Source organism: Homo sapiens, chromosome 8 (assembly GCF_000001405.40).
Source record: "Homo sapiens chromosome 8, GRCh38.p14 Primary Assembly".
Taxonomy (NCBI): domain Eukaryota; kingdom Metazoa; phylum Chordata; class Mammalia; order Primates; family Hominidae; genus Homo; species Homo sapiens.
The window spans coordinates 7,387,334-7,410,762 of record NC_000008.11 but is presented as its reverse complement, the minus strand read 5'-3'; the positions used below and the strand labels follow the sequence as shown (position 1 = coordinate 7,410,762).

Here is a 23,429-nt window from a genome sequence, read left to right as displayed (position 1 = left end):
GGATTTGAAGATGAAGGAAGGATCCACAAACCAAGGAACATGGGCAGCCTCTCAGATTTGAAAAGGCAAAGAAGAAAAAAAAAAAAAAAGGAAAGCAAACTCAGCTTCTTAGAACCTCTGGAAAGGAAAAAGGTCCTAAGGACACTTTGATTTTTCATGTTTGATCCCCAAAACAGCAAGATAATTTGTGTTGGTTTAGGTCACTAAGCTTATGACAATTTGCTTAGAAACAGAACACAAATACAATTGCTCCTCAGTATCCATGGGGGATTGGTTCCAGGACCCCCTGTGTATACCAAATGCCTCAGATGCTCAAGTCCCTGATATAAAAGAGTAGTAATTTCATATAATCTTCACACTCCTTGCATATACTTTAAATCATTCCTAGATTTCTTGTAACACTGAACACAATGTAAATGCTAAGTAAGTAGGAGTTATGCTGTATTTCCTAGAAAATAATGGCAAGAGAAAAAGGCCTGTGCATGCTCAATTCAGACACAATGTTTTTGTAGAACGTTTCCTGATGTGGAACACACGAATAGGAAGGGCCTACTGGTTTCAAATTATAAACTGAGCATAAAATTAGTAACACAAAAAAGCTAAGGCTACATTTCTGTAATGGAGAACAAAGATGAAAACCTACCAACATTTTACGGAATTTTATGTATATCTTTCTCAAATTCTGAAGGCTTATATGAAAAGACAATGAGGCTCTCAGGAAGAAGGGACAAAAACTGAAAAAGTTGAGCCTGTTCCTCAGTTTCCATCCAAACGGACTCACTGCTATGGGAATTGCCCTCCTACAGTAGACAAGATGGAACTAGTCAGCAGGTGTGAGACAGCTGTGTTCATATATTGGATAATAAGCAGTGCAACAAACAAATAAAGTAGGATGTCCTTTTGCCCCTAGCTCTCTATAGGGCCAGGTTACAGGCCACAGCACAGGGAGGAAGACTTACATGAAGACCAGCACCCTGTAGCATTGAGGAGACCAAGGTCAAAGCTCACACAGCACGATACGCCCTGTGTCAGTCTGTGTGTGTTGCTCTAAAGGAATACCTGAGGTGGGATAATACTTCAGGAAAGGAAGTTATTTGGCTCACTATTTTTGGCTGTGTGAGAAGCATGGTGCCTGCATCCGCTCCTTGTTAGGACTCCATAAGCCTTCAGTCATAGTGGAAAGTCAAGTGGGAGCAGGAATATCACGTGGTAAGAGTGGAGCGAGAGGGTGCAAGGAGGTCCCAGACTCTTTTAAACAACTACATGTTGTATGAACTCGGAGCAAGAACTCACTCATTTTTGTGATGAAAGCAGTTAGTCATTCATTAGGGATTCACCCCCACAACCCAAACACTTCCCACCAGATTCCACTTCCAACACTGAGGATTAGATTTCAGCAGGAGGTTTCGAGGGGACAAACATCTGAAAAATATTATTCTTCCTCTGGTCCCTCAAATCTCATGTCCTTCTCACATTGCAAAATGCAATCATCCCTTCCCAATCACTCCCCAAAGTTTTAACTACTTCCAGCATTAACTTAATCAAAAGTCCAAAGTTCAAAATCTCATCCCCTGAGACTCAAATTCCTTCCGCCTTTTAGCCTGTACTATCAAAAACAAGTTATGTACTTTCATGTTACAATGATGGCACAGGCATTGGCTAGACACTACCATTCTAAAAGGCAGAAATTGGCCAATAAAAGGGATTACAGGCCCCACACATGTCAGAAACTCAGCAGGGCAGCTATTAAACCTCAAAGTTTGAAAATAATTCTTGATTCCATGTCCTTTATTCTGCTGTGAGGGTGGGCTCTGAAGACCTTGGGCTGCTCTGCCCCTGTGGCTTTACAGGGTGCAGCCCACATGGCTCCTGTCACAGGTCAGAATCTGATGCCCGTGGCTCTTCCATGCTGAGGGTACAAGCTGTCAACAGTGTTACTATTCTCAGGTCTGGAGGGCAGTGTTCCCCTTCCCTCAGCTCCACTAGGCAATGCCCCACTGGGGACACTGTGTGGGGAATCCAACCCCACGTTTCCCCTTAGCACTGCCCTGGTAGAGTTTTTCTCTTGGTACTCTCCCTCGGCAGCAGTTTTCTGCCTGGAGAACCAGACTTTGCCACACATCCTCTGAAATCTCGGTGGAAGCTGCCAAGCCTCCTTCCTTTTTGCACTCTGCAGACTTGCAGGCTTAGCACCACATGAACGCTGCCAAGACGTTCTGGCTTTCACCCACTGAAGCAGTGGCCAATCTGTACATTAGGCCCTTTGAGCTGAGGCTGGAGGCTGGGCAGCCAGGATGTGTCTTGAAGCTGAGCAGGGCAGCTGTGCCTGGGTCTGGCCACTGAAACCATTCTTTCCTCCTAGGCCTGTGGGCTGTGGTGGGAGGGAATGCCTCAAAGTTTTCAAAAATGCCTTGTAAGCCTTTTCCCCATTGTCTTGGCTATTAGCACTTGGCTCCTTCTCAGTCATGCACATCTCTCTAGCAAGTGGTTTCTCCACAGCCCCTTACAGTCCTCTTCTGAAAATGCTTTTTCTTTCTCTACTAAATTTCTAGGCTGCAAATTTTCCAAATTTTTATGCTTTGCTTCTTTCATGCGCGTCCGTGTGAAGAGACCACCAAACAGGCTTTGTGTGAGCAACATGGCTGTTTATTTCACCTGGGTGCAGGCGGGCTGAGTCTGAAAAGAGAGTCAGCAAAGGGAGATAAGGATGGGGCCGTTTTATAGGATTTGGGTAGGTAAAGGAAAATTACAGTCAAAGGGGTTTTGTTCTCTGGTGGGCAGGAGTGGGGGTCGCAAGGTGCTCAGTGGGGTTGCTTTTTGAGCCAGGATGAGCCAGGAAAAGGACTTTCACAAGGTAATGTCATCACTTAAGGCAAAGACCGGCCATTCACACTTCTTTTGTGGTGGAATGTCATCTGTTAAATTGGGGCAGGGCATATTCACTTCTTTTGTGATTCTTCAGTTACTTCAGGCCATCTGGGCGTATATACGTGGAAGTCACAGGGGATGCGATGGCTTGGCTTGGGCTAAGAGGCCTGATATTCCTGCCTTCTTATATTAATAAGAAAAATAAAACAAAATAGTGTTGAAGTGTTGGGGTGGTGAAAATTTTTGGGGGGTGGTATGGAGAGAGAATGGGCGATGTTTCTCAGGGCTGCTTCAAGCGGGATTAGGGGTGGCGTGGGAATCTAGAGTGGGAGAGATTAAGCTGAAGGGAAGTCTTGTGGTAAGGGGTGATATTGTGGGGATGTTAGAAGAAACATTTGTCATATAGAATGATTGGTGATGGCCTGGATACGCTTTTGGATGAATTGAGAAACTAAATGGAATAACAGAAGGAGAAAAACAGGTATAAAAGGTCTAAGAATTGGGACGACTCAGGATATCTGATTAGAGAGTGCCTAAGGAGACTCATCATAGTCCTGCCAGCAAAGATTATTTATTTACTTCAAGAGTTAAGAGCGGCAGTTTGGGGATAGCACCAGGAGATATCAGCTGTGATGGCTTGGAAAAACTGTGTAAAACGGCCGTGTAAACAAGAGCAGGGCATGTATGAGTAGTTGAGAACAGTGAATAGGAGTATGACTAGACAGAAGATAGTAGGGATGACAAGTTTTTTGGGGCACAGTTTAAGTTGGTCTGGTGTCTGGAATGAGACTGGGGCCTAATAAAAAGGAGCGTCTATACAGGAGCTTAAATGGGCTGTACCCTGTAGCATTCCGAGGACAGGCCTGAATTCTGAGATGGGAGAGTGCTAAAAGTATTGTCCAGTCCTTTTTGGTGGCTGAGCTTGGTGAGGTGTGTTTTTAAAAGACCTTTAGTCCATTCTCCTTTTCTTGAAGATGGAGGACTGTAAGGAATATAAAGGTTTCACTGAATACTAAGAGCCTGAAAAACTGCTTGGCTGATTTGACTAATAAAGGCTCATGTGTTATCAGACTGTATGGAGGTGGGAAGGCTAAACTGAGAAATTATGTCTGACAGAACCAAAGAAATGACTGCGGTGGCCTTCTCAGACCCCGTAGGAAAGGCCTCTACCTATCCAGTGAAAGTATCTACCTAGACTAAGAGGTATTTTAGTTATCTGACTCAGGGCATGTTGAGTAAAGCTAACTTGCCAGTCCTGGGTGGGGCAAATCCTTGACTTGATGTGTAGGGAAGGGAGGGGGCCTGAATAATCCCTGAGGAGTAGTAGAATAGCAGATGGAACACTGAGAAGTTATTTCCTTCCTTGAGGATAGATTTCCACGATGGAAAGGAAATAAGAGGTTCTAAGAGGCGGGCTAGTGGCTTGTACTATAGTATAACCTGCTTTTGCTGGTGTGTGGCAATTAGGCCTGGTGGAACTGCCATCAATAAATCAAGCGTGATCAGGGTGAGGAACAGGAAAGAAGCAAATATGGGGAAATGGGGTGAATATCAGGTGGATCAGAGAGATACAGTCATGGGGGTCAGGTGTGGTATCAGGAATAATGTGGGAGGCCAGATTGAAGTCCGGGCCAGGAACAATGGTAATTGTGGGACTTAAAGAGTGAGTACAGCTGAAGGAGCCGGGGAGCAGAAAGTATATAAGTCAAGTATGAGGAAGAAAATAGATTTTGGAAGTTATGAGAACTGTAGAGAGGGAGTTGAGCATAGTTTGTGATTTTGAGGGCCTCTAAAAGTATTAAAGCAGCGGCAGCCACTGCACGCAGACATGAGGGCTAGGCTAAAACAGTAAGGTCAAGTTGTTTGCACAGAAAGGCTACAGGGTGCTGTCCTGGCTCTTGTGTAAGAATTCTGACTGCACTAACTATGCCTAGGAAGGAAAGGAGTTGTTTTGTAAGGGATTGTGGTTTGGGAGATTAATCGGACATGATCAGCAGGGAAAGCACATATGTTTTCATGAGAACTATGCTGAGATAGGTAACAGATGAGGATGACATTTGGGCTTGACTGAAGTAATAGGGGCTGTCTATGAAGCCTTGCGGCAGTACAGCCTAGGTAATTTGCTGAGCCTGATGGGTGTCAGGGTCAGTCTAAGTGGAAGCGAAGAGAGGCTGGGACAAGGGGTGCAGGGGAATAGTGAAAAAGCATCTTTAAGATCAAGCACAGAATAGTGAGTTGTGGAGGAAGGTATTGAGGACAAAAGAGTGTACGGGTTGGACACCACAGGGGGGATAGGCAAAACAATTTGGTTGATAAGGTGCAGATCATGAACTAACTTGTAAGGCTTGTCTGGTTTTAGGACAGGTAAAATGGGGGAATTGTAAGGAGAGTTTATAGGATTTAAAAGGCCATGCTGTAGCAGACGAGTGATAACAGGCTTTAATCTTTTTAAAGCATGCTGCGGGATGGGATATTGGTGTTGAGTGGGGTAAGGGTGATTAGGTTTTAATGAGATGGTAAGGGGTGCATGATCGGTCACCAAGGAGGGAGTAGAGGTATCTTATACTTGTGGGTTAAGGTCGGGGGATACAAGAGGACGCAAAGGAGACTTTGGATTGGGAAGAAGGGTGGCAATGAGATATAGCTGTAGTCCAGGAATAGTCAGGGAAGCAGATAATTTAGTTAAATTGTCTCGGCCTAATAAGGGAACTGGGCAGGTGGGGACAACTAAAAAGGAGTGCTTAAAAGAGTATTGTCTAAGTTGGCACCAGAGTTGGGGAGTTTTAAGAGGTTTAGAAGCCTGGCCATCAATACCCACAACAGTTATGGAATCAAGGGAAACAGGCCCTTGAAAAGAAGGTAATGTGGAGTGGGTAGCCACCGTAATGATTAAGAAGGGGACGGAATTACCCGCCACTGTGAGAGTTACTCGAAGTTCAGCGTCCGTGATGGTCTAGGGGGCTTCTGAGGCGATCGGGCAGTGTCAGTCTTCAGCCACTAAGCGGAGAAGATCTCTGAAGGAGTCAGTCAGAGAGCCTTGGGCCAGAGTTCCAGGGGCTGTGGGAATGGCTGCCAGGTGAGTTGAACAGTCCGGTTTTCAGTGGGGTCCCACACAGATGGGACGCGGCTTAGGAGGAATCCCAGGCTGTGGGCATTCCTTGGCCCAGTGGCCAGATTTTGCATATGTAGCAAGCTCCTGGGGGAGGAGGTTCTGGAGGACTGCCTGGCTGCTGTGGTTCAGGCATTTGGAAGTTCTTGTGTGCTGGAGATGTGGCTGGGGTTTGTCTCACAGTGGAGGCAAAGAATTGCAACTTTTTTCTGTTATTGTACGCCTTGAAGGTGAGGTTAATTAAGTCCTGTTGTGGGGTTTGAGGGCCAGATTCCAATTTTTGGAGTTTTATTTAATGTTGGGAGCAGATTGGGTAATAAAATGTATATTGAGAATAAGACGGCCTTTTGACCTTTTAGGGTCTAGGGCTGTAAAGTGTCTCAGGGTTGCTGCCAAATGAGCCATGAACTGGGCTGGGTTTTTATATTTGATGAAAAGGAGCCTAAACACTTCTGATTTGGGATAAAGAAAAAGGAGCATTAACCTTGACTATATCTTTGGCTCCGGCCACCTTTTTAAGAGTAAATTGCTGGGCAGGTGGAGGAGGGCTAGTCACGGAAGGAAACTGTAAGCCGGACCAGGTGTGAGGAGGGGAGGTGATAAAAAGATTATAGGGTAGAGGAGCAGAGGCTGAGGAAGAATTGGGACGTAGCTTGGCCTGGTGAGGAGCAGCCTGGGGAGGAAGGGAGATGTCAGATTGGTCTGTAGAAAAGGAAGATTAGAAAGACTCAGCGACACTTGGGGTTGGTACTGAGGGGACAGGCGGGAGGGAAAGAAGGAAGATTTGGGATGAGTTGCACTGGGCACAGAGACTAGGAAGGGACTGATGTGTAAAAGAATGCCTGGACGTCAGGCACCTGAGACCATTTGCCTGTTTTACAACAAGAATTATTTAGATCTTGTAGGATGGAAAAATTCAAAGTGCCATTTTCTGGCTATTTGGAACTACTGTCGAGTTTGTATTGGGGTCAAGTGGCATTGCAGAAGAACATAAGGCATTTAGGTTTTAGGTCAGGTGTGACTTGAAGAGGTTTTAAGTTTTTGAGAACACAGGCCAAGGGAGTAGAAGGAAGAATGGAGCATGGAAGGTTGCCCATAGTGAAGGAAGCAAGCCTAGAGAAAAGAGAGAGTAGAGAAATGGAAGGAAGGGGTTTGGGGGTTCTTACCTTCCAGAAAAGTGGGAAAAGGGGTTGGGGCACAGAGATAAGAGGTCAGGGCATGGAAATAAGGGATTGGGGTGCAGAGATATGAGGTTGAGGCACTGAAATAAGGGATTGGGGCACAGAGATAAGAGGTCGGAGTGCAGAAATAAGGGATTGGGGTGTAGAGATAAGAGGTTGGGGCATGGAAATAAGGGATTGGGGTGTAGAGATAAGAGGTTGGGGCATGGAAATAAGGGATTGGGGTGCAGAGATAAGAGGCTGGGGCGTGGAAATAAGGGATTGGGTGTTCTTGCCCCATAGAAAAGCGGGACTTGCCGCTAAGGGTGAAGGAGAAGGGGTTGAAGGGTACTTGCCCCTCTCCCAGAAAAGCAGAGAAGGGGTAGAGACAAGGCGAGAAGGAGTTGAGGTACTTGCCCCTTCCCCAGAAAAGCGGGAATTGCCGCTAAGGGTGAATGACCAAGGCAGGTGTTCCTGCATGGTCAGACACCCTTGAAACGTGGGTGTATAATCAGAGAGGCATCCCTGCAATGATTAAACACCAAGGGAAGGCTGCCTTCCCAGTCCGTGACCAGTGCCGGAGTTTTGGGTCCATGGAAAAAACGTGTCTCCTTTGTCTCTTCCAGAAAATGAAAGGAATTGAAATTAAGAGAAGGGAGAGATTGAAGAGTGGAAAGGAGAAAGTGGTTGAGGGACAGTGAGAGAGGTTGCAGAAGAGAGTAAGAAGAGGCCGCTTACCTGATTTAAAATTGGTGAGATGTTCCTTGGGCTGGTCGGTCTGATGACCTGAGGTCATAGGTGGATCTTCTCACGGAGCAAAAAACAGGAGTACAGGGGATTGATCTCCCAAGGGAGGTCCCCCGATCCAAGTCACGGCACCAAATTTCATGTGCGTCCGTGTGAAGAGACCACCAAACAGGCTTTGTGTGAGCAACATGGCTGTTTATTTCACCTGAGTGCAGGTGGGCTGAATCCAAAAAGGGAGTCAGTGAAGGGAGAAAAGTGTGGGGCTGTTTTATAGGATTTGGGTAGGTAAAGGAAAAATACAGTCAAAAGGGGTTTGTTCTCTGGCGGGCAGGAGTAGGGGTTGCAAGGTGCTCAGTGGGGGTGCTTTTTGAGACAGGATGAGCCAGGAAAAGGACTTTCACAAGGTAATGTCGTCACTTAAGGCAAGGACCGGCCATTTACACTTCTTTTGTGGTGGAATGTCATCTGTTAAGGTGGGGCAGGGCATATTCACTTCTTTTGTGATTCTTCAGTTACTTCAGGCCATCTGGGCGTATACATGCAAGTCACAGGGGATGCGATGGCTTGGCTTGGGCTGAGACGCCTGACAGCTTCTCCTTTAAGTTCCAAATTGAAAGCATTTCTTTGCTCCTGTATCTGATTGCAAGCTTGTAGAAGCAGCTACATATCTTGAATACTTTGCTCCTTGGAAATTACTTAGACCAGATGCTCTAGCTAATCACTCTAAAGTTCAACTTTCCACAAATCCCTAGGACGTGAACACAATGCAGCCAAGCTCTTGACTGGGGTGTAACAATGGGGACCCTTGCTCTAATTCCCAGTAACTTCCACTTTTCCATCTAACAACTTGATAGTGTGGACTCCACTGTCCATATCTCTGTGAGCATTTTGGTCACGTACATTTAACAAGTTTCTAAAGAGTTCCAAACTTTCCCTCATCTTCCTATCTTTTGCTGGGCCCTACAAACTCTTTCAACCTCTGCCAGTACCCAGTGACAAAGCCACTTCCATATTTTCAGCTGTCTTTACAGCAATGCCCCCTGCACAGTATCAATTTTCTGTGTCAGTTTGTTTTTACTCCTATAAAGGAATACCTAATGCTGGGTAATTCATAAGGAAAAGAAGTTTATTTTGGCTCCCTATTCTGTAGGCTGTATGAGTAGCATGGTGACATCATCTGCTCCTTTTGAGGCCTCAGAAGGCTTCCTTTTGTGTAGGAAGGGGAAGGGGGAGCAGGAGTATCACAAGCCAGGAGAAGGAGCCAGAGTTGGGGAGGTGCCACACTGTGTGAAACAACCAGATCTCCCATGACTCAAAGAAGGAGCTCACAGATTATCTCCAGGACAGCACCAAGCCATTCATGAGGGATCCACCCCAATGACCCCAACACCTCCTGCCAGGTCCCACCTCCAAGACTGGGAATTACATTTCAACATAGTATTTGGAGAGTACAAACATCCAACCTGTATCAGACCCCAATTTCCAGTGCACATATCAGAGAGTGGGCTACTGAAAGGAAGCATTGATCTTGAGTGTTGGAGAAGAGAAGAATGCCTTCACTCTTAGGCTATGTTATGATGTGTGCACACTTGGGCTAAGACTTCCCCAGGCCAGAAAAAAGTAAAAACTCCATAAGGGAGTGAACGGCATTTTCAGGAGGACAGACAAGTCTTGAAAACTTTGTATCCCCACAGCAAAGTGGAGAGAACTCAGAACCTCAGAAAGCCATCAGCAAGTAGTGGTGCTAGTTAGCTCTAGATTAAACTGCTCTGCAACTGCTTCAAGAAATTTTCAAGCCATTCTTGAAAAAACCAAATGAATGTATAGAACCCCCAAAATGAACCAGATGATGTCTAGCATTCTTTGGGGAAAACAACCAAAACTGTTACTCAACAATTCAAGCTGTCCAGGCCTGGCGGTTCATGACTGTAATCTCAGCACTTTCGGAAGCCAAGACAGGTGAATCACTTGAGGGCATGAGCTCGAGACCAGCCAGGCCAACCTATGCCTACTAAAAATAGAAAAATTATCTGGGCGTGGTGGCACAGGCCTGTAGTCCCAGGTACTCAGGAGGCTGAGGCAAGAGAATTGCTTAAACCAGGGAGGCAGAGGTTGCAGTGATCTGAGATTGCACCACTGCATTCCAGCCTGGGCAACAGAGCAAGACCCTGTTTCCAAATTAAAAAAAAAAAAGGCTTTATAATATACTGAATCCAATAAAAAATTTCCAAGCATGAAAAGAAGTAGGAAAATATAGCCCATAACTAGGAGAAAAGTCATTCAGTAAAAACAGACCCAATAATGACAAAGGTACTAGGATCAGAAAAGGGAATGTAAAGGAGCTATTATAAAAGTTATAAATATGTCAAAGGCTGAAGAGAAAACCTTTTTGATGAGGAGGAACACATAAAAAGAACCAAATGGGCCTTCCAGCAGTAAAACAAAATGATGAGAACAAAAAAATTTCTGAATTGGATTAATGACACATGACAGTATAGAAGAAAGGATCAGTAAGCCTGAGTCTACATTAACACAAACAAATGAGAAAATGAAGCAAAGGGAGAAAAAAACTCTGGATGAAAAATAAACAGTGCACTTCACAGAAATATCAAGCAATCTAGCACCTATGTGTGTTTGAAGGCAGAAAGAAATTCCAGGAGAAAGCATAAAGTTAGTGAAATAATAGCCTATTTTTATAAATTTGGTGAGACTGGAAACATACAAATTTGGTATTGAAAGACATCCAAGAAGAATAATTATTTAAAAAAAAAAGAACAAGAATATCATAATTATACAAGTTCATTTTCACACTGCTATAAAGAACTACCTGAGACTGGATAATTATAAATAAAAGAGGTTTCTTTGACTCCCAGTTATGCTGGATTAACAGAAAGCATGGCTAGGAGGCCTCAGGAATCTCACAATCGTGATGGAAGGTGAAGCAGAAGCAAGCAAGTCTTCCACAGTGTCAGACGAAAGAGAGAGGGAGAGAGAGAGAGGAAGAGAGACAGAGCACAAGAGTAAGCACAGAAGGAAACTGCCATTTATAAAACCATCACATCTCTTGAGAATTCACTCACTATCATGAGAACAGCAAGGCAGAATTCACCTCCCCATGATCCAATCACCTCCCACCAGGTCCTGCCCCCCAACACTGGGGATTATGGGATTATAATTCCAGATGAGATTTGAGTAGGGACACAGAGCCAAACCATATCAATAATCAAATTGTTTTGAATCAAAAATAATGAGAAAATCTTAAAAGCATGCTGAGAGAAGACACTGCTTACAGAAGTAGAAAAAATAAAGTGACATATTTAAGTACCAAAAGAAGAAAAATAAGTCAACATAGGACCCTGACAAGCAAAAATACATTTCTAGATTAATGCTAAACACATATTCCAGTAATAAGTAAAGGCATTTTCTTTTCCTTTTTTTTTTTTTTTTTTGAGACGGAGTCTCGCTGTCACGCAGACTGGAGTGCGATGGTGCGATCTCGGCTCACTGCAAGCTCCGCCTCCCGGGTTCACGCCATTCTCCTGCCTCAGCCTCCCCAGTAGCTGGGACTACAGGCGCCCGCCACCATGCCCGGTTAATTTTTTTGTATTTGTAGTAGAGATAGGATTTCACCGTATTAGCCAGGATGGTCTGGATCTCCTGACCTCGAGATCCGCCCACCTCGGCCTCCCAAAGTGCTGGGATTACAGGCGTGACCCACCGCGTAAAGGCATTTTCTAATGACAATAACAAAAACTAAGAGAATTCCTCACTAGCAAACTTGTAGTATAAAACAAGACCCAAATACACGCTGTCTATAAAAACCCAATGTCTTTATCAAATATAAGGACAAAGATAGGTTGATAGTAAAGGGACAGAAAGAGTTATAGTATGGAAACATTAATCTAATGAAAACAGAATTAGCTGTATCGGCTAACTGACTATAAATCAAAGTAGATTTTACAGCAAGGTGTATTATTACTGATAAAGAGCCTATGTTTTCCAGTGATAAAGTTGTTAAATCACCAAGAACACATATCATTATTATTAAATTAGTATGCACCTAATAAGAGAATCTCAAAATTTTTAAAAAGAAATTGATAGAACTAAGAGAAGAAATTGAAAAATTAAGAATTACCATTGAATATTTCAACACTTTTTTCTTTGAAATAGTTTTTTTAGCAGCAAAGTATAAATAAAGATAGAGAGAACTTGAACAACAGTATCATCCATTATGACCTATATAAGCTTTACAGGACACTCCTCCCAATAACAGTAAAATGCATTGAAATATTACCTAAGAGAGCTCATATTGGACTAAGAAACAAAAAAATCAAAACAATTTAAAATCATATGTAGCGTAATGTCTATCCACAGTGGAATGTATGAAGCTGTGACTAAAGGAAAATAGCTGGAAAATTCCTCACATATTTGGACATTACTCAACATATTTCTAATGAGTCAAAGGAGAAATTTAAAAATATTTTCACATGACAGCAAATGGAAACATAACATACCAAAATTTGTGGCAATACAACAAAAGCAGTGCTTGGAGGGAAATTGATAACATTAACTGCTATTATGATGCGAAGTCGAAAGCTCAGAAATAGACAATCTAATATTCCATTGTAAAAAACCTGGGGAAAAAAGAACTAATTAAGCTGAAAGTAAATAGGAAAACGAGTGAATAAAAAAGAATGTGGACACAAAAGAGAATATTAAAAATAAATAAACGAAAGCTACTTGCTTGAGAGAATGCATAAAATTGTGAGAACTCTCGATAGGTTCCTTAAGGGGAAAAAGGAAATTACTAGAAGTCTCAGGTGCACACCCAGGCTTCAGGCAGGCAGGAAACAGATTAGGTCTGCGTTTCAGGGTCATGTAGTCAGGCCGCCACGAGGTGGCAGTAACTGCGCGCTCATTCCCTCACCTCCTGCAAGGCCGGGCCAGGCTGTGGACTCACCGCTCAGCTCAGGAGATGGGAGAGGGTGACAGTAGCCGCGTGGACTCTGGCCTTACGCAGAGCGTTACTGTAGCTTTGGGGTTGTAGGAGGATGAAGAGGGGGAGGTTATCAGGACACCATGGTGATTGTGTGGTGCTGGTTAGGAACATGGGCTTTGAAGAGAGAGGGATTTTATTTCAAATTCCATCTCTGCCACTTAGTAGTCAGATGACATTGAACATGTCCTCTAACCTTTCTAGGCCCCAGGACCTGCCTCTGTAAACTTGGGTAATAACCCCCTGGCATGTTTGCTTCTGAGGATTAAATGAGATAACTTGTATAAAAATGGCCACGGCAAGGCCGGCTGCAAAATTCCCAAGGCTCAGTGCAAAGTGGAAATGCAGGGCGCCTTGTTCAAAGAGCAGCAGAAGAAAGTGTCGTGAAAGGCAGGAGGGTATTCAGCTTTCTCAAGCCAGTATGTTTCATCATTTGAAAAGTGTAATAGGGATAATACTTCTAGAAGAGTAAGAACAGAATCATATAAATCCCCACCAGAAACCAGTGTCACAGTTTTAATAGAATAAATAATAATACTTTATTAATTGGATCTAGATGAATCAAACAATTTTTCTGGCCAACTTTTCTGCAATTAATTTATTAGGTCATCAAACTTTATACCTTGAGCAACTTCATTTTTTCTTCTGAAAAGAATCTGCTGAAGCAACTGTTTCTGGAATATTATCTAAACTCTGACAATATTGGGATAAACTATTTTGACACAAATTTTAGTATATCTGTAGCTGGTGGTTCTTGTGGAGCTATTTTTTTCAAAGCATATAACTGTTTAAGCAAATCAGTTTTATGGAAGTTTGAATTTAATTTTAAGTGTAAATTTCTCCAATGGAATTTTGATGCATCTTCTGACATGTTCTGTAAGTTGCAGAGGCCCACAGCAGACCAAATGTGGCGTCATGATTTGTAACTTACTCAAAACTCCTGTTTTTGAATTCTATTGTTGTATCTTTAACAAGAAGAACTGAATTTTTAAAATTGCTCTACTTGTTAATAATTGATTGATCAGAAGTGTTATTTTCTTTTCTTTTCTTTTCTTTTTGAGGTAGGGTCTCCATCTGTTGACATGATCATGGCTCACTGCAGCCTCAGACTCCTGAACTCGTATGATCTTCCTACCTCAGCCTCCCAAGTAGCTAAGACTACGGGCATGTGCCACTGTGCTCAGCTAATCTTTTTTTTTTTTTTTTAATGTTGGGGTCTAACTATACTGCCCACTATACTGCCTATGGTGGTCTCCAACAACTGGCTTCAAACAGTCCTCTAACCAGAGCTTCACAATGTGCTGGGATAACAGGTGTGACCCACCATGCCTGTCCCATCAGAAGTTTTGTGACTATCATTATATATTTAATTTATATTTCTGAGCCTTGGATAACTCCTTGAAGAACTCTAAACTCTCTGAGGAATTCCAAGAACTCCCTGGCATACTCTTTCACAATGTCCATGGGCACACTTTTGTTTTGTGCTTCTCTCCTCCCAATTTGCTATCTGAGCCCTATGATTCCTGTCCTGGTGCTCAGGTCAGGGGGTAGATATTCGTGCAGAAGCTCCAAGGATGACTCTGAGAATGCACAGGCACAGAGGTGTCAGTGCTGCGTCCACACAGAGACCCTCCTTTCACCCCAGGGCTGAGGACACCTGCTGCTGCGGCTGCCACCTCCCATCCTGGTCCGTTGCCATCTTCCTTCCCAGTCGAGATGTGCCTGGGCCGCTCCAAAGCACCCGTGCTCAGGGCAGCAAGCTCCAACATGTGGCCTTCATGTCCCTGGGCCTGAGCCTGCCCACCTTGTCCCCCCTCATAGCCACTCTGCTCATGTGCCTGCTCCATTGTCTCAGTGGGCTTCACTTACAAAATGAAGTTCAAAGAAAAAAAACTAAGGTCAAGAGGGTGTCGGCAGAGCCTGCTACCAGGCACTGGCCCTTCTGAGGGCAGGTCCCTGTGTCACTGCCCAGCCCTCAAGCCCGTGAAGCTGGTCCTGGCTCCAGAATTGAGAGCCAGTAAAACTGCTTCTGTTATTTATCATTGAGGACACAGTGCAGAGAAACTTTGCTTTCTAAAATTATAGATATGAGAGACTTTGCTTTCTGGGAGCCTATCTAAAGGAATGCCCACTCTTGCCTGGGGAACTGAGCCACTTTGCCACAGAAAACAGCCTGTGGTTTGGGAAAAAACCCATATCTGTGCTGGTGGATAGTCTTCCTTGCTGAAGCAAGATAATAACCCTACCTTTAAGACAAAAGTGCTCCTCCCTTGATCTTTATCAAACACACTGTATCACCAGGATGAACACTGCTCTGAAGGAGTCACATCGGGCTGTGCCAGGAAAAAAGAATAGCTGCAACCATAGGAATCTTCATGGGAACAGTCAGCCCAGCTGTCCTTGAGCAACCAGGCCCATGGTCCCTAAGCCTTGGTGGCTTCTTCCCCAGGGACACAGGTGCTGCATTTCACAGTGACTTTCCTATTTCAGAGCAATTTCACCTCCTTCTCTAACAAGGCCTCACAAATGTACTGAGAGCTAGAGAGGACAACAAGTGTAAAACCACAGTGCTGTCAGTGGTTCCTGGGATTGCAACGGGATTATAGGAGAAATTCACACTCTTCTATGGGTGAGTTTTTAAATGCAAGTGTATTACTTTTATAATAATCATGTTAAGTACAGCAGTCATTAAGGACGTATCAATCAGGAGTGATGCCACACATGAAAAAGATGGGAACCACTCTCTTAACTCAAACTCTTATTTACATATAAGAGTTACGTAATAACTCCAGTAAGGCCCCTTGCCACATACCATGGCATTTCCTTAAGAATGTTTACTCAACAAGGAAAGAGGCGTGACAACCTAATTCGATGTGTGAATCTGGATTGAACATGTACCCAGAAAACTCAACAGCCACGAAGCTATTCTTGGAACAATTTCAATGTCTATGCACTGACTTCTGTTTTGCAATAATTTACTGACACTTTGCTTCCTGAGCACCTACAGCTGCTGTCCCAGTGTTCAGGCCAGGGAAATTTTCTTGTTAATGTGCATAAATGGTAGTGTGATTGATGCGGGAATTTTTTTCTTATTTATAAGAGATACATGCTGAGATAATTAGGGTGAAGTGTCATGACATTTTCCTGCTACTTTCAAAAGGTGACAGCGACATAGAAAGTATATTTTTTAAATTATTTATTAATTTAGACAGAGCACATATGTGCTTTTTTTTTTTTTTCATTCAGTTTTTCTATTTGGCTTCCTTGGCCAGGAATAGTTTTAGTGTCAGGAAATGAATGAGTCTGCCCCTCAATTCCAGCCTGCTCAGCACAGAGGAAAACAAAGTTCTGACAAAGGGAGTGACTCCCTGCTGAGTCAGCTGTAGCCCTGGATTCAGATTCCTTTAGCAGTTGTGAGGGCACCCAACCCAGCCCTCTCTTTGCCTACCCCATCGGAAACTTCCTTTCATGATAAGAAAGACATTAAAGATCTTGTTCATAGAATCCATTGCAGCTTTCTTTAAAAACACCCCTGGCCTGCCTCAAACTGTGAATTCTTAAAGTGTGACATTTAAAATGTAGACCATGGCTCAAGGCTCATTGTCCCCATGGCTGTCACCGCTACACCTTGGTGTCATCGCTACACCTGACACTGGGGCCTGCTTGTCTCTCAAGCTTCCCTTGGATCCAAAGAGGGAGGAACCAGGATGAATGCCACTTATTTTCCCTTGAAAAGCCCCACCCCTGAGCATCTGACACCAGGGGCTCTGTCCATTGCCTGTGGCCACCGATTGCTACTCTGGGTTATGGAGGAAGGACAGGGTCCTGAGGGTCCCCAGAGACCTTGCACAGCTCTGAAAACACAGGGCTTCTGCAGAAGTGGGTCCCATCACCAATAGGGAGACTGTCAGACCTCTGAGCCCAAGCTAAGCCATCATATCCCCTGTGACCTGCACGTATACATCCAGATGGCCTGAAGTAACTGAAGAATCACAAAAGAAGTGAAAATGGACTGTTCATGCCTTAACTGATGACATTACCTTGTGAAATTCCTTGGCCTGGCTCATCCTGGCTCAAAAGCTCCCTCACTGAGCAACTTGTGACCTCCACCCCTGCCAGCCAGAGAACAACCCCCTTTGACTGTAATTTTCCATTACCTACTCAAATCCTGTAAAACGGCCCCACCCCTATCTCCCTACGCTGACTCAGCCCACCTGCACCCAGGTGATTAAAAAGCTTTATTGCTCACATAAAGCCTGTTTGGTGGTCTCTTCACACGGATGCACGTGAAAGACACCACGTGGAGGCCTTGCACCCCCACTCCGTGCTTCTCTACCAAATCCCAACGGTATTGAGCTCACTTAGCACTGACGTCTGTGGAAAGCAGGGAAAGCCCTGGCTCCCAAAGCCCTGAAGTCCTGTGGAGCTGACATTCCCTGAGTGTCGGTGTGAATGGAGGGAACTCAAGTGTGGGTGGTAGGCCACCTCCTGGCCTGGGCCTGGGTGGACTCTGAGGGGACACATGTAGTCACAATCCCACCCTCCCATTCTCCTTCTCAGAGGAAGGAAGTGGGCACCCATCTGCCTCATCTCTGTCCCATGGTGATGACGGAGAATTTCAGGGCACCTTTCACATGAATTTCACCAGCTCAGATCTGTGAGGACGGGGCCCACCATGCTCCTGGAGCTGCCAGAAGCCGTGAGCCCCTCCCAGGTCCCTGGGTTTGAGCCAGCCCTGTATCATCCCCAGGAGCTGAATGTCCCAGCAATGGATAGAACTAGATGGAACCGGCTCCCAGTTTGGCCTGAGACTGTCCCTAGACATTCAGGAAAAACAGGACATCCCACAGAGCAGGCAGGTGATCTCCAGTTCACAGACCCTGAGTCTGTTCCCCTGTAAGAAAGACCTTGCCCCTCACTCCATTCACATCCCAGGTCCCAAATGATACAAGACAGAAAGAAGCCCTGGTCATATGAGCAGAACGAGGGGATGTTCTGGGGTTTCTTGTGTCCAAATTTGCATAAGAGCTCCTGGGTATACTTTTCTCTCAGAGGGCCATTTGTCTGATGCCCCCAGTAAGGTGGTCAGTTTCAATCACTGTAATTACTGATGTGGTAGGCAATACCTGTTCCAAATTCTGCCCAGTGACCAGGGGCCAAGACCTGTTTAGATGGAAGGCTCGGTGTCCTCCCCAGCCTCAGCTCATGGTGAAGCTCCCAGCCATCACCCATAAGGGTCCTTATCTTCTCTTCTTATTCCGCTTCATATTCCTGATGCCTCTTCCACATGAGATGAGTCAGGGAAATAGGAGGCTTGGAAAAGTGGAAAAATGGGGTAGAGGCTCTCTCTTGCCTCTCTCTCACCTCTTTCTCTCTCATCCAAGTACTAGTTAGGCCCACTCCTGCTTAGCTTACAAGATCAGAGGAGATCAAACATGTTCAAGGTGCTATGGCCGTAGACACTCTCTCTCTTTTTCTCTGTCTCTCATGTCTATATCTCTCCTTTGTCTCCTTTCTCTGCCTCTTGTATTTCTCTCAGTGTCAGGGCACTCCCTCTCTCCCTGTCTCCCCTACAGCTTGACTCCCTTTGTCCCTTTCTCTCTTTCTTCTACTATCACTTCTAGACTGAGTAGATTGCATGCCTTGCTTTGTTGAACCAAACTCCATTTCCTTCAATATGAAAGGAGTTTAAGAGCTTCATGGCCGCCTCACTCCCTCTTCTAAGCCAGAGGGGCCCAGTAGCCTGTAAATCTCATCTCCTCCCTGATCTTCACTCTATGACTGCTAAGACTATGGTTGAAAACTGTCAGGTGACTTTTATTTTTCAATAAAAGTGAGAAATTTTGATTTTATCCAAAGAAGTAAGTACAGAATGTCATTTTCTAAATTTTTATATTTAAAGTGTAGATTTGAGTGACCTAGAGAATTTCAGGTAGTGATAAGGCGCAGCCTGTACTTTGGGAAGTTGTGTTTGGGACACTGGCCCTTCGTCTTTTCAGATGGAAGGCCCTGGAGAACACTTGCCCTCTGTGGCTGCTCTAGGTTCACAGAACAAAAATGCCTATTGAAAGCCACTTTTAAAATGGAATGCCTAATTTTATTTTCTCCTTGATGTTATAAGAATAAAATAAAAGGGTGAAGGAAGAAAAGGAGAGTGGAAGGGAGGAAGGGAGAGAGAAAGATAATTTGAGACTAAGACCTGAGATGTCTAATCTGATAGAAATTACATAGAAAAAGCCTCATTTTATCCATATTGTTTATGGATTTTGGGTTACAGAGGAGCAGCAGGGCTCCTGGAGGCACAGACATTGGGCGATATTCCACCACTTAGGAGAGTATGAAGGAAGAGACAAAAGGGAGGAAAGGAGGAAAGGAAGGAGGGAGGACAAATGGAAGGGTGAGATTGAGAAGAGAATTTAGAGATTAGAAACAATTCATTACAAAGGTTTACTTCTACTGTTAATTATTGTTTTTAATTGTAATCTACTTTCTTTTATTTGTCTTTTTTCATTCCCAGCTCCCCTCCCCCTGCCCCTCCTTGCCCCTCCTTCTTTTTTTTTTTTTTTCTTTTTTTTTCTGAGACAGAGGCTTGCTCTGTCACCCAGGCTGGAGTGCAATGGCATGATCTCGGCTCACTGCAACCTCCGCCTCTTGGGTTCAAGTGATTCTCCTGCCTCAGCCTCCTGCGTAGCTGGGATTACAGGTACCCACCACCATGCCCAGTTAATTTTTGTATTTTTAGTAGAGACAGGGTTTCACCAGGTTGGCCAGGCTGGTCTCAAACTCCTGACCTCAGGTGATCCACCCACCTAGGCCTCCCAAAGTACTGGGATTAGAGGCGTGAGCCCCTGGGCCCGGCCCTAAGTTACTTTCATATTAAATTCACATTAAACAATTTCTGCCATTTGAGCCACATCTTTTTCTTGCATCTCATTTTAAAAACTTAACGGACTTCATGATTTGGAAAGCAGAGGTTACTGGCCTGTGTGTGTAAATGGAGGTAGGGTAGCTTTGAGGTTATTTTTGTGTGGTGGAGCTGAATTCTCAAGAAATCCTTGTTGAGCTGCTACCTGAGCCCATCTGGAGGCCCCAGTCACTTAGCAGAGATCGGTCTTTCACATTCTGGTTCCAGGAACTAAACATTCCCAAACCACGTCAGGGCCAGCCTCCTTTTAAGAAACTTAGGTTCACGTCATCATTCACTCATGTCTCATGATCATGATGAAAATCCCAGGCTTGGAAAAGAAACTCACCAGAGATTTATTCAAGTCAACACCGACACAGGCTTTGTGCTTTTCTGACATGGGGTTTTGAATTCTAACACCCTATCACTCCTATTGTCCTTTGATTTGCTTATTGTTTATTGCTTCTCGGTTTTTTTTCTTTTTTTTCTTTTCCTTTCTTTAGGTTTTTCTAAAGATATAAGAAATCCTGCTAGCTGACACAGGAATAAAGGTGTGTGTGTGTTCTGAATGTTTGCTCTACAAGCTTGAAACAGATTGGCACCTATGGCCATGACAGAATAAAATGCTGCAAAAAGTAACGAGGAGTCCAAGAAGCTTCTGTGACTAATGTGGATTCAGAAAGGGCTCACTCAGCAGAGACGTGCCGCATTTAAACCAAATTAAGCTACGGTGTTCGAAGACATGGAATCTTTATCCTAGTAATTGCAATTGTGATTGTGTAATGTTGGTTTCGGACAAGCGAATCTCTGACATCCTTGGAATGTCCTTCCCAGCTCTCCAGACCAGGGGTCAGGGATGGCACAGGAGGAGTTTTTTGGGTTGCTCCTCCAGCAACCCAAAACCAACAGGAGCAACGGGATGTTAGAATTCAAAACCCCATGTCAGAAAGACACAAAGTCTGTGTCAGTATCATCTTGAATAAATCCACGGTGAGTTTCTTTTCCAAACCTGAGCTTTTCCATCATGATCATGAGATGTGAGTGAATAATTATGAGTCATAAGTTTCTGACAAGGAGACTGGCACTGCTGTGATTTGGGGGAGGCTTAGTGACATCTGTTCCCTTTAGGTCCCTTGACCTTCCCCAATTATTCCCATTGTTTTCCTATAACTGTGCTTTGCTCCTCCTACTTCCTCTCTTTGCGTGCCCTCACCTACCCCACATCTTCCTGGAAGACTGTGCCTCATTAATGTCCCAACTCAAAGGCCTCTTTCCTCCTGGAATCAGGGTGATCCACTAAGGAGGGAACGCCCTATCCTCCTGTTCTTCACAAGCACTCCCTCCTTCTGGTTTAGCCTACTTATGCAATTGTGCTTCCTGCTCATGTGGTTAATTTTTTACTTCTCCAATAGTCTATGAGCTCTCTACAGGTATGGACTTTCTCTTATTCATGTATGTAGTGGTCATTGAGGAAGAGTTGTTACTTCATAAATTATTATACATTTAATGGCAAAGTTGAGTTGCACAAAGCATTTCCTCACATCTAGACATAATTTTGATTCATGTAAAAGCTCTTAAAAACAGGTCCTTTTTGAAGGTACAGTTAAATGAGGGCAATATAGCGCAGAACACAATGAGAGGAGAGCAAACCTCAAGAAGAAAGACAGTATAGACTCTGAGGGGAAGCATCAAGATGCCTGCCTAGCCCTGCCCTCTCTCGTTGGGCAGTTTAACTCGTTTGATAGTTAAATCGTGAACTCTGCAGGTATACCCTACATGTCTATGAAGCTCTCTGTTTCTTGATATTAACTTTTCTCTTAATGTGCCTACCATCAACCTCTAGCTAAATGCATTTTTGTCTAAAATAATCCATTGGATTTCCTAGAGTATCAAGATTGGAAAAAAAAAATCAGACCTAGAGATTTTTTGTAGATCCTTTAACCAGGCCAAGAGGTGAGGGAGGCACTGGATGCAGGTGCAGAATTTGGGGATCAAAAAATTCTGCACTCAAGATAAGTGATCTTATAATGTATGTGTTTTTTTTTTTTTTTTTTTGTAAAAAAAAAAATTGATTCAAAAGTAACACATGATCTACAAAATATTCAAGTTTTAAATAAGGACAGAATCTAATCCTGCTATTGTCCAACTCAAACTTACCCACCTCACCTTGGTCCCAGGCCTGTCCGATAGTCTTATTTATTTAATCATTTAATTTTTATAATATGTGACATTTTTAGTTTGAATGAATTTGTTGCTCTCCTGGTGCCTGGAAGTTTAGGTAGAGTTTACATTATATATCCCATGATATTTGCAATGTCCATATACTAAAAAGTTATTCACAGACATTTTTCTCCTTAAAGACAATTTTTGTGGCCAAAGTATTTATTTGCTACACCGAGTTTTATTTTACTAGGTGTAGTAGGCATAATAATGGCCTCCCAAAGATGTCCATGTCCCAATTCCTAGAACCTATGATTATGCTTCTTTACATAGCAGATAAGAATTAATGTCAGCAGACAGAATTAAAGTTGCTAATCAGCTGACTTTCAAATAGGGAGATTATCTTAGATTAGGTGAACGAGACCAATGTAATCAAAAGGATCATTAAATTTGGAAAGAGACAGAACAGTCAGTGTCTTCATGATGTGATGTTAGAATGACTTGACAGGCATTGCTGGCTTTGAGATGAAGAAGCCACAGGCCAAGGAAGTTGGGCAGCTTCTAAAGCTTGAAAATGCAAAACAAAACAAAAAAGCAAACAAAGATTCTCACTTAGAGACTCTAGGAAGGAACACAGTCTTGCTGACACCTTGATTTTGGATATTTTATTCCCCCAAACTGTAAGATAATTAATTAGCATTGTTTAAAGTCACTAAGGTTAATGACAATTTACTACTTCAGCAGTAATTAACAAATATAGTTGCTGCTTGGTATCCGGGGGGGATTGGTTTCAGGTCCTCTGTGGATATAAAATTCCTCAGATGCTGAAGTCCTTGATGTAAAATGGCATGGGTATTGTCATATAACCTTTGCATTTCCTCCTATGTACTTTACATCATCTCTAGATTACCTGTAAATCCTAAATCGATGTAAATGCTAAGTAAATGGGTGTTAACTTATATTGTTTAGGGAATAATGACCAAAAAAAGCCTGTATATGTTCAGACCAGACACATTTCTTTTTTCCTGAGTATTTTCAGATCAACACAGAGGGTCGACTATATCCTAGTTTCAAATCATGAATTGAGCATAAAATTAGTAACACAAATGACCTAAGCCTACATTTGTTTAATGGAGAAAAAATGATGAAAAACTCGCAACAAGTTACTGAACTTTCTATGTTTTTTTCCTAGAAATGAGCAAGGCTCATATGATAACTCTTCCTCCCTCAGAAGGCACTCTGAGCTCAGTATTACATGAATAGCCCATTTATTTCAGATCTGTAGCTTGGAATTTATTGTGAACAGATTCAGTCTTAGGTGAGGGTGGAAGACATATGTATCCATTCCATGATTTCATATCTCCAGGATATTCCTACACCAAAAGCACTTCCTCCATAGAATTTGCAAAGAGTAAATATGTACTGTCAGAGATTTATTCTTCTGGTTCAAGGTCTAATTCTTTATTAATCAATCACACACCTCCA

General features: G+C 43.5%; 5 annotated features.

The window, feature by feature from the left end:
• Positions 2,688-3,633: an enhancer, noted in NCBI's record as "OCT4-NANOG-H3K27ac hESC enhancer chr8:7264652-7265597 (GRCh37/hg19 assembly coordinates)". NCBI's record gives its function as "activates a minimal SCP1, AML or CMV promoter by ChIP-STARR-seq in naive and primed H9 embryonic stem cells {active_cell/tissue: H9 hESC(naive and primed)}" and the evidence as "EXISTENCE:reporter gene assay evidence [ECO:0000049][PMID:30033119]".
• Positions 8,037-8,614: an enhancer, noted in NCBI's record as "OCT4-NANOG hESC enhancer chr8:7259671-7260248 (GRCh37/hg19 assembly coordinates)". NCBI's record gives its function as "activates a minimal SCP1, AML or CMV promoter by ChIP-STARR-seq in naive and primed H9 embryonic stem cells {active_cell/tissue: H9 hESC(naive and primed)}" and the evidence as "EXISTENCE:reporter gene assay evidence [ECO:0000049][PMID:30033119]".
• Positions 14,002-14,578: an enhancer, noted in NCBI's record as "H3K27ac-H3K4me1 hESC enhancer chr8:7253707-7254283 (GRCh37/hg19 assembly coordinates)". NCBI's record gives its function as "activates a minimal SCP1, AML or CMV promoter by ChIP-STARR-seq in naive H9 embryonic stem cells {active_cell/tissue: H9 hESC(naive)}" and the evidence as "EXISTENCE:reporter gene assay evidence [ECO:0000049][PMID:30033119]".
• Positions 14,579-15,155: an enhancer, noted in NCBI's record as "H3K27ac-H3K4me1 hESC enhancer chr8:7253130-7253706 (GRCh37/hg19 assembly coordinates)". NCBI's record gives its function as "activates a minimal SCP1, AML or CMV promoter by ChIP-STARR-seq in naive H9 embryonic stem cells {active_cell/tissue: H9 hESC(naive)}" and the evidence as "EXISTENCE:reporter gene assay evidence [ECO:0000049][PMID:30033119]".
• Positions 16,069-17,018: an enhancer, noted in NCBI's record as "H3K27ac-H3K4me1 hESC enhancer chr8:7251267-7252216 (GRCh37/hg19 assembly coordinates)". NCBI's record gives its function as "activates a minimal SCP1, AML or CMV promoter by ChIP-STARR-seq in primed H9 embryonic stem cells {active_cell/tissue: H9 hESC(primed)}" and the evidence as "EXISTENCE:reporter gene assay evidence [ECO:0000049][PMID:30033119]".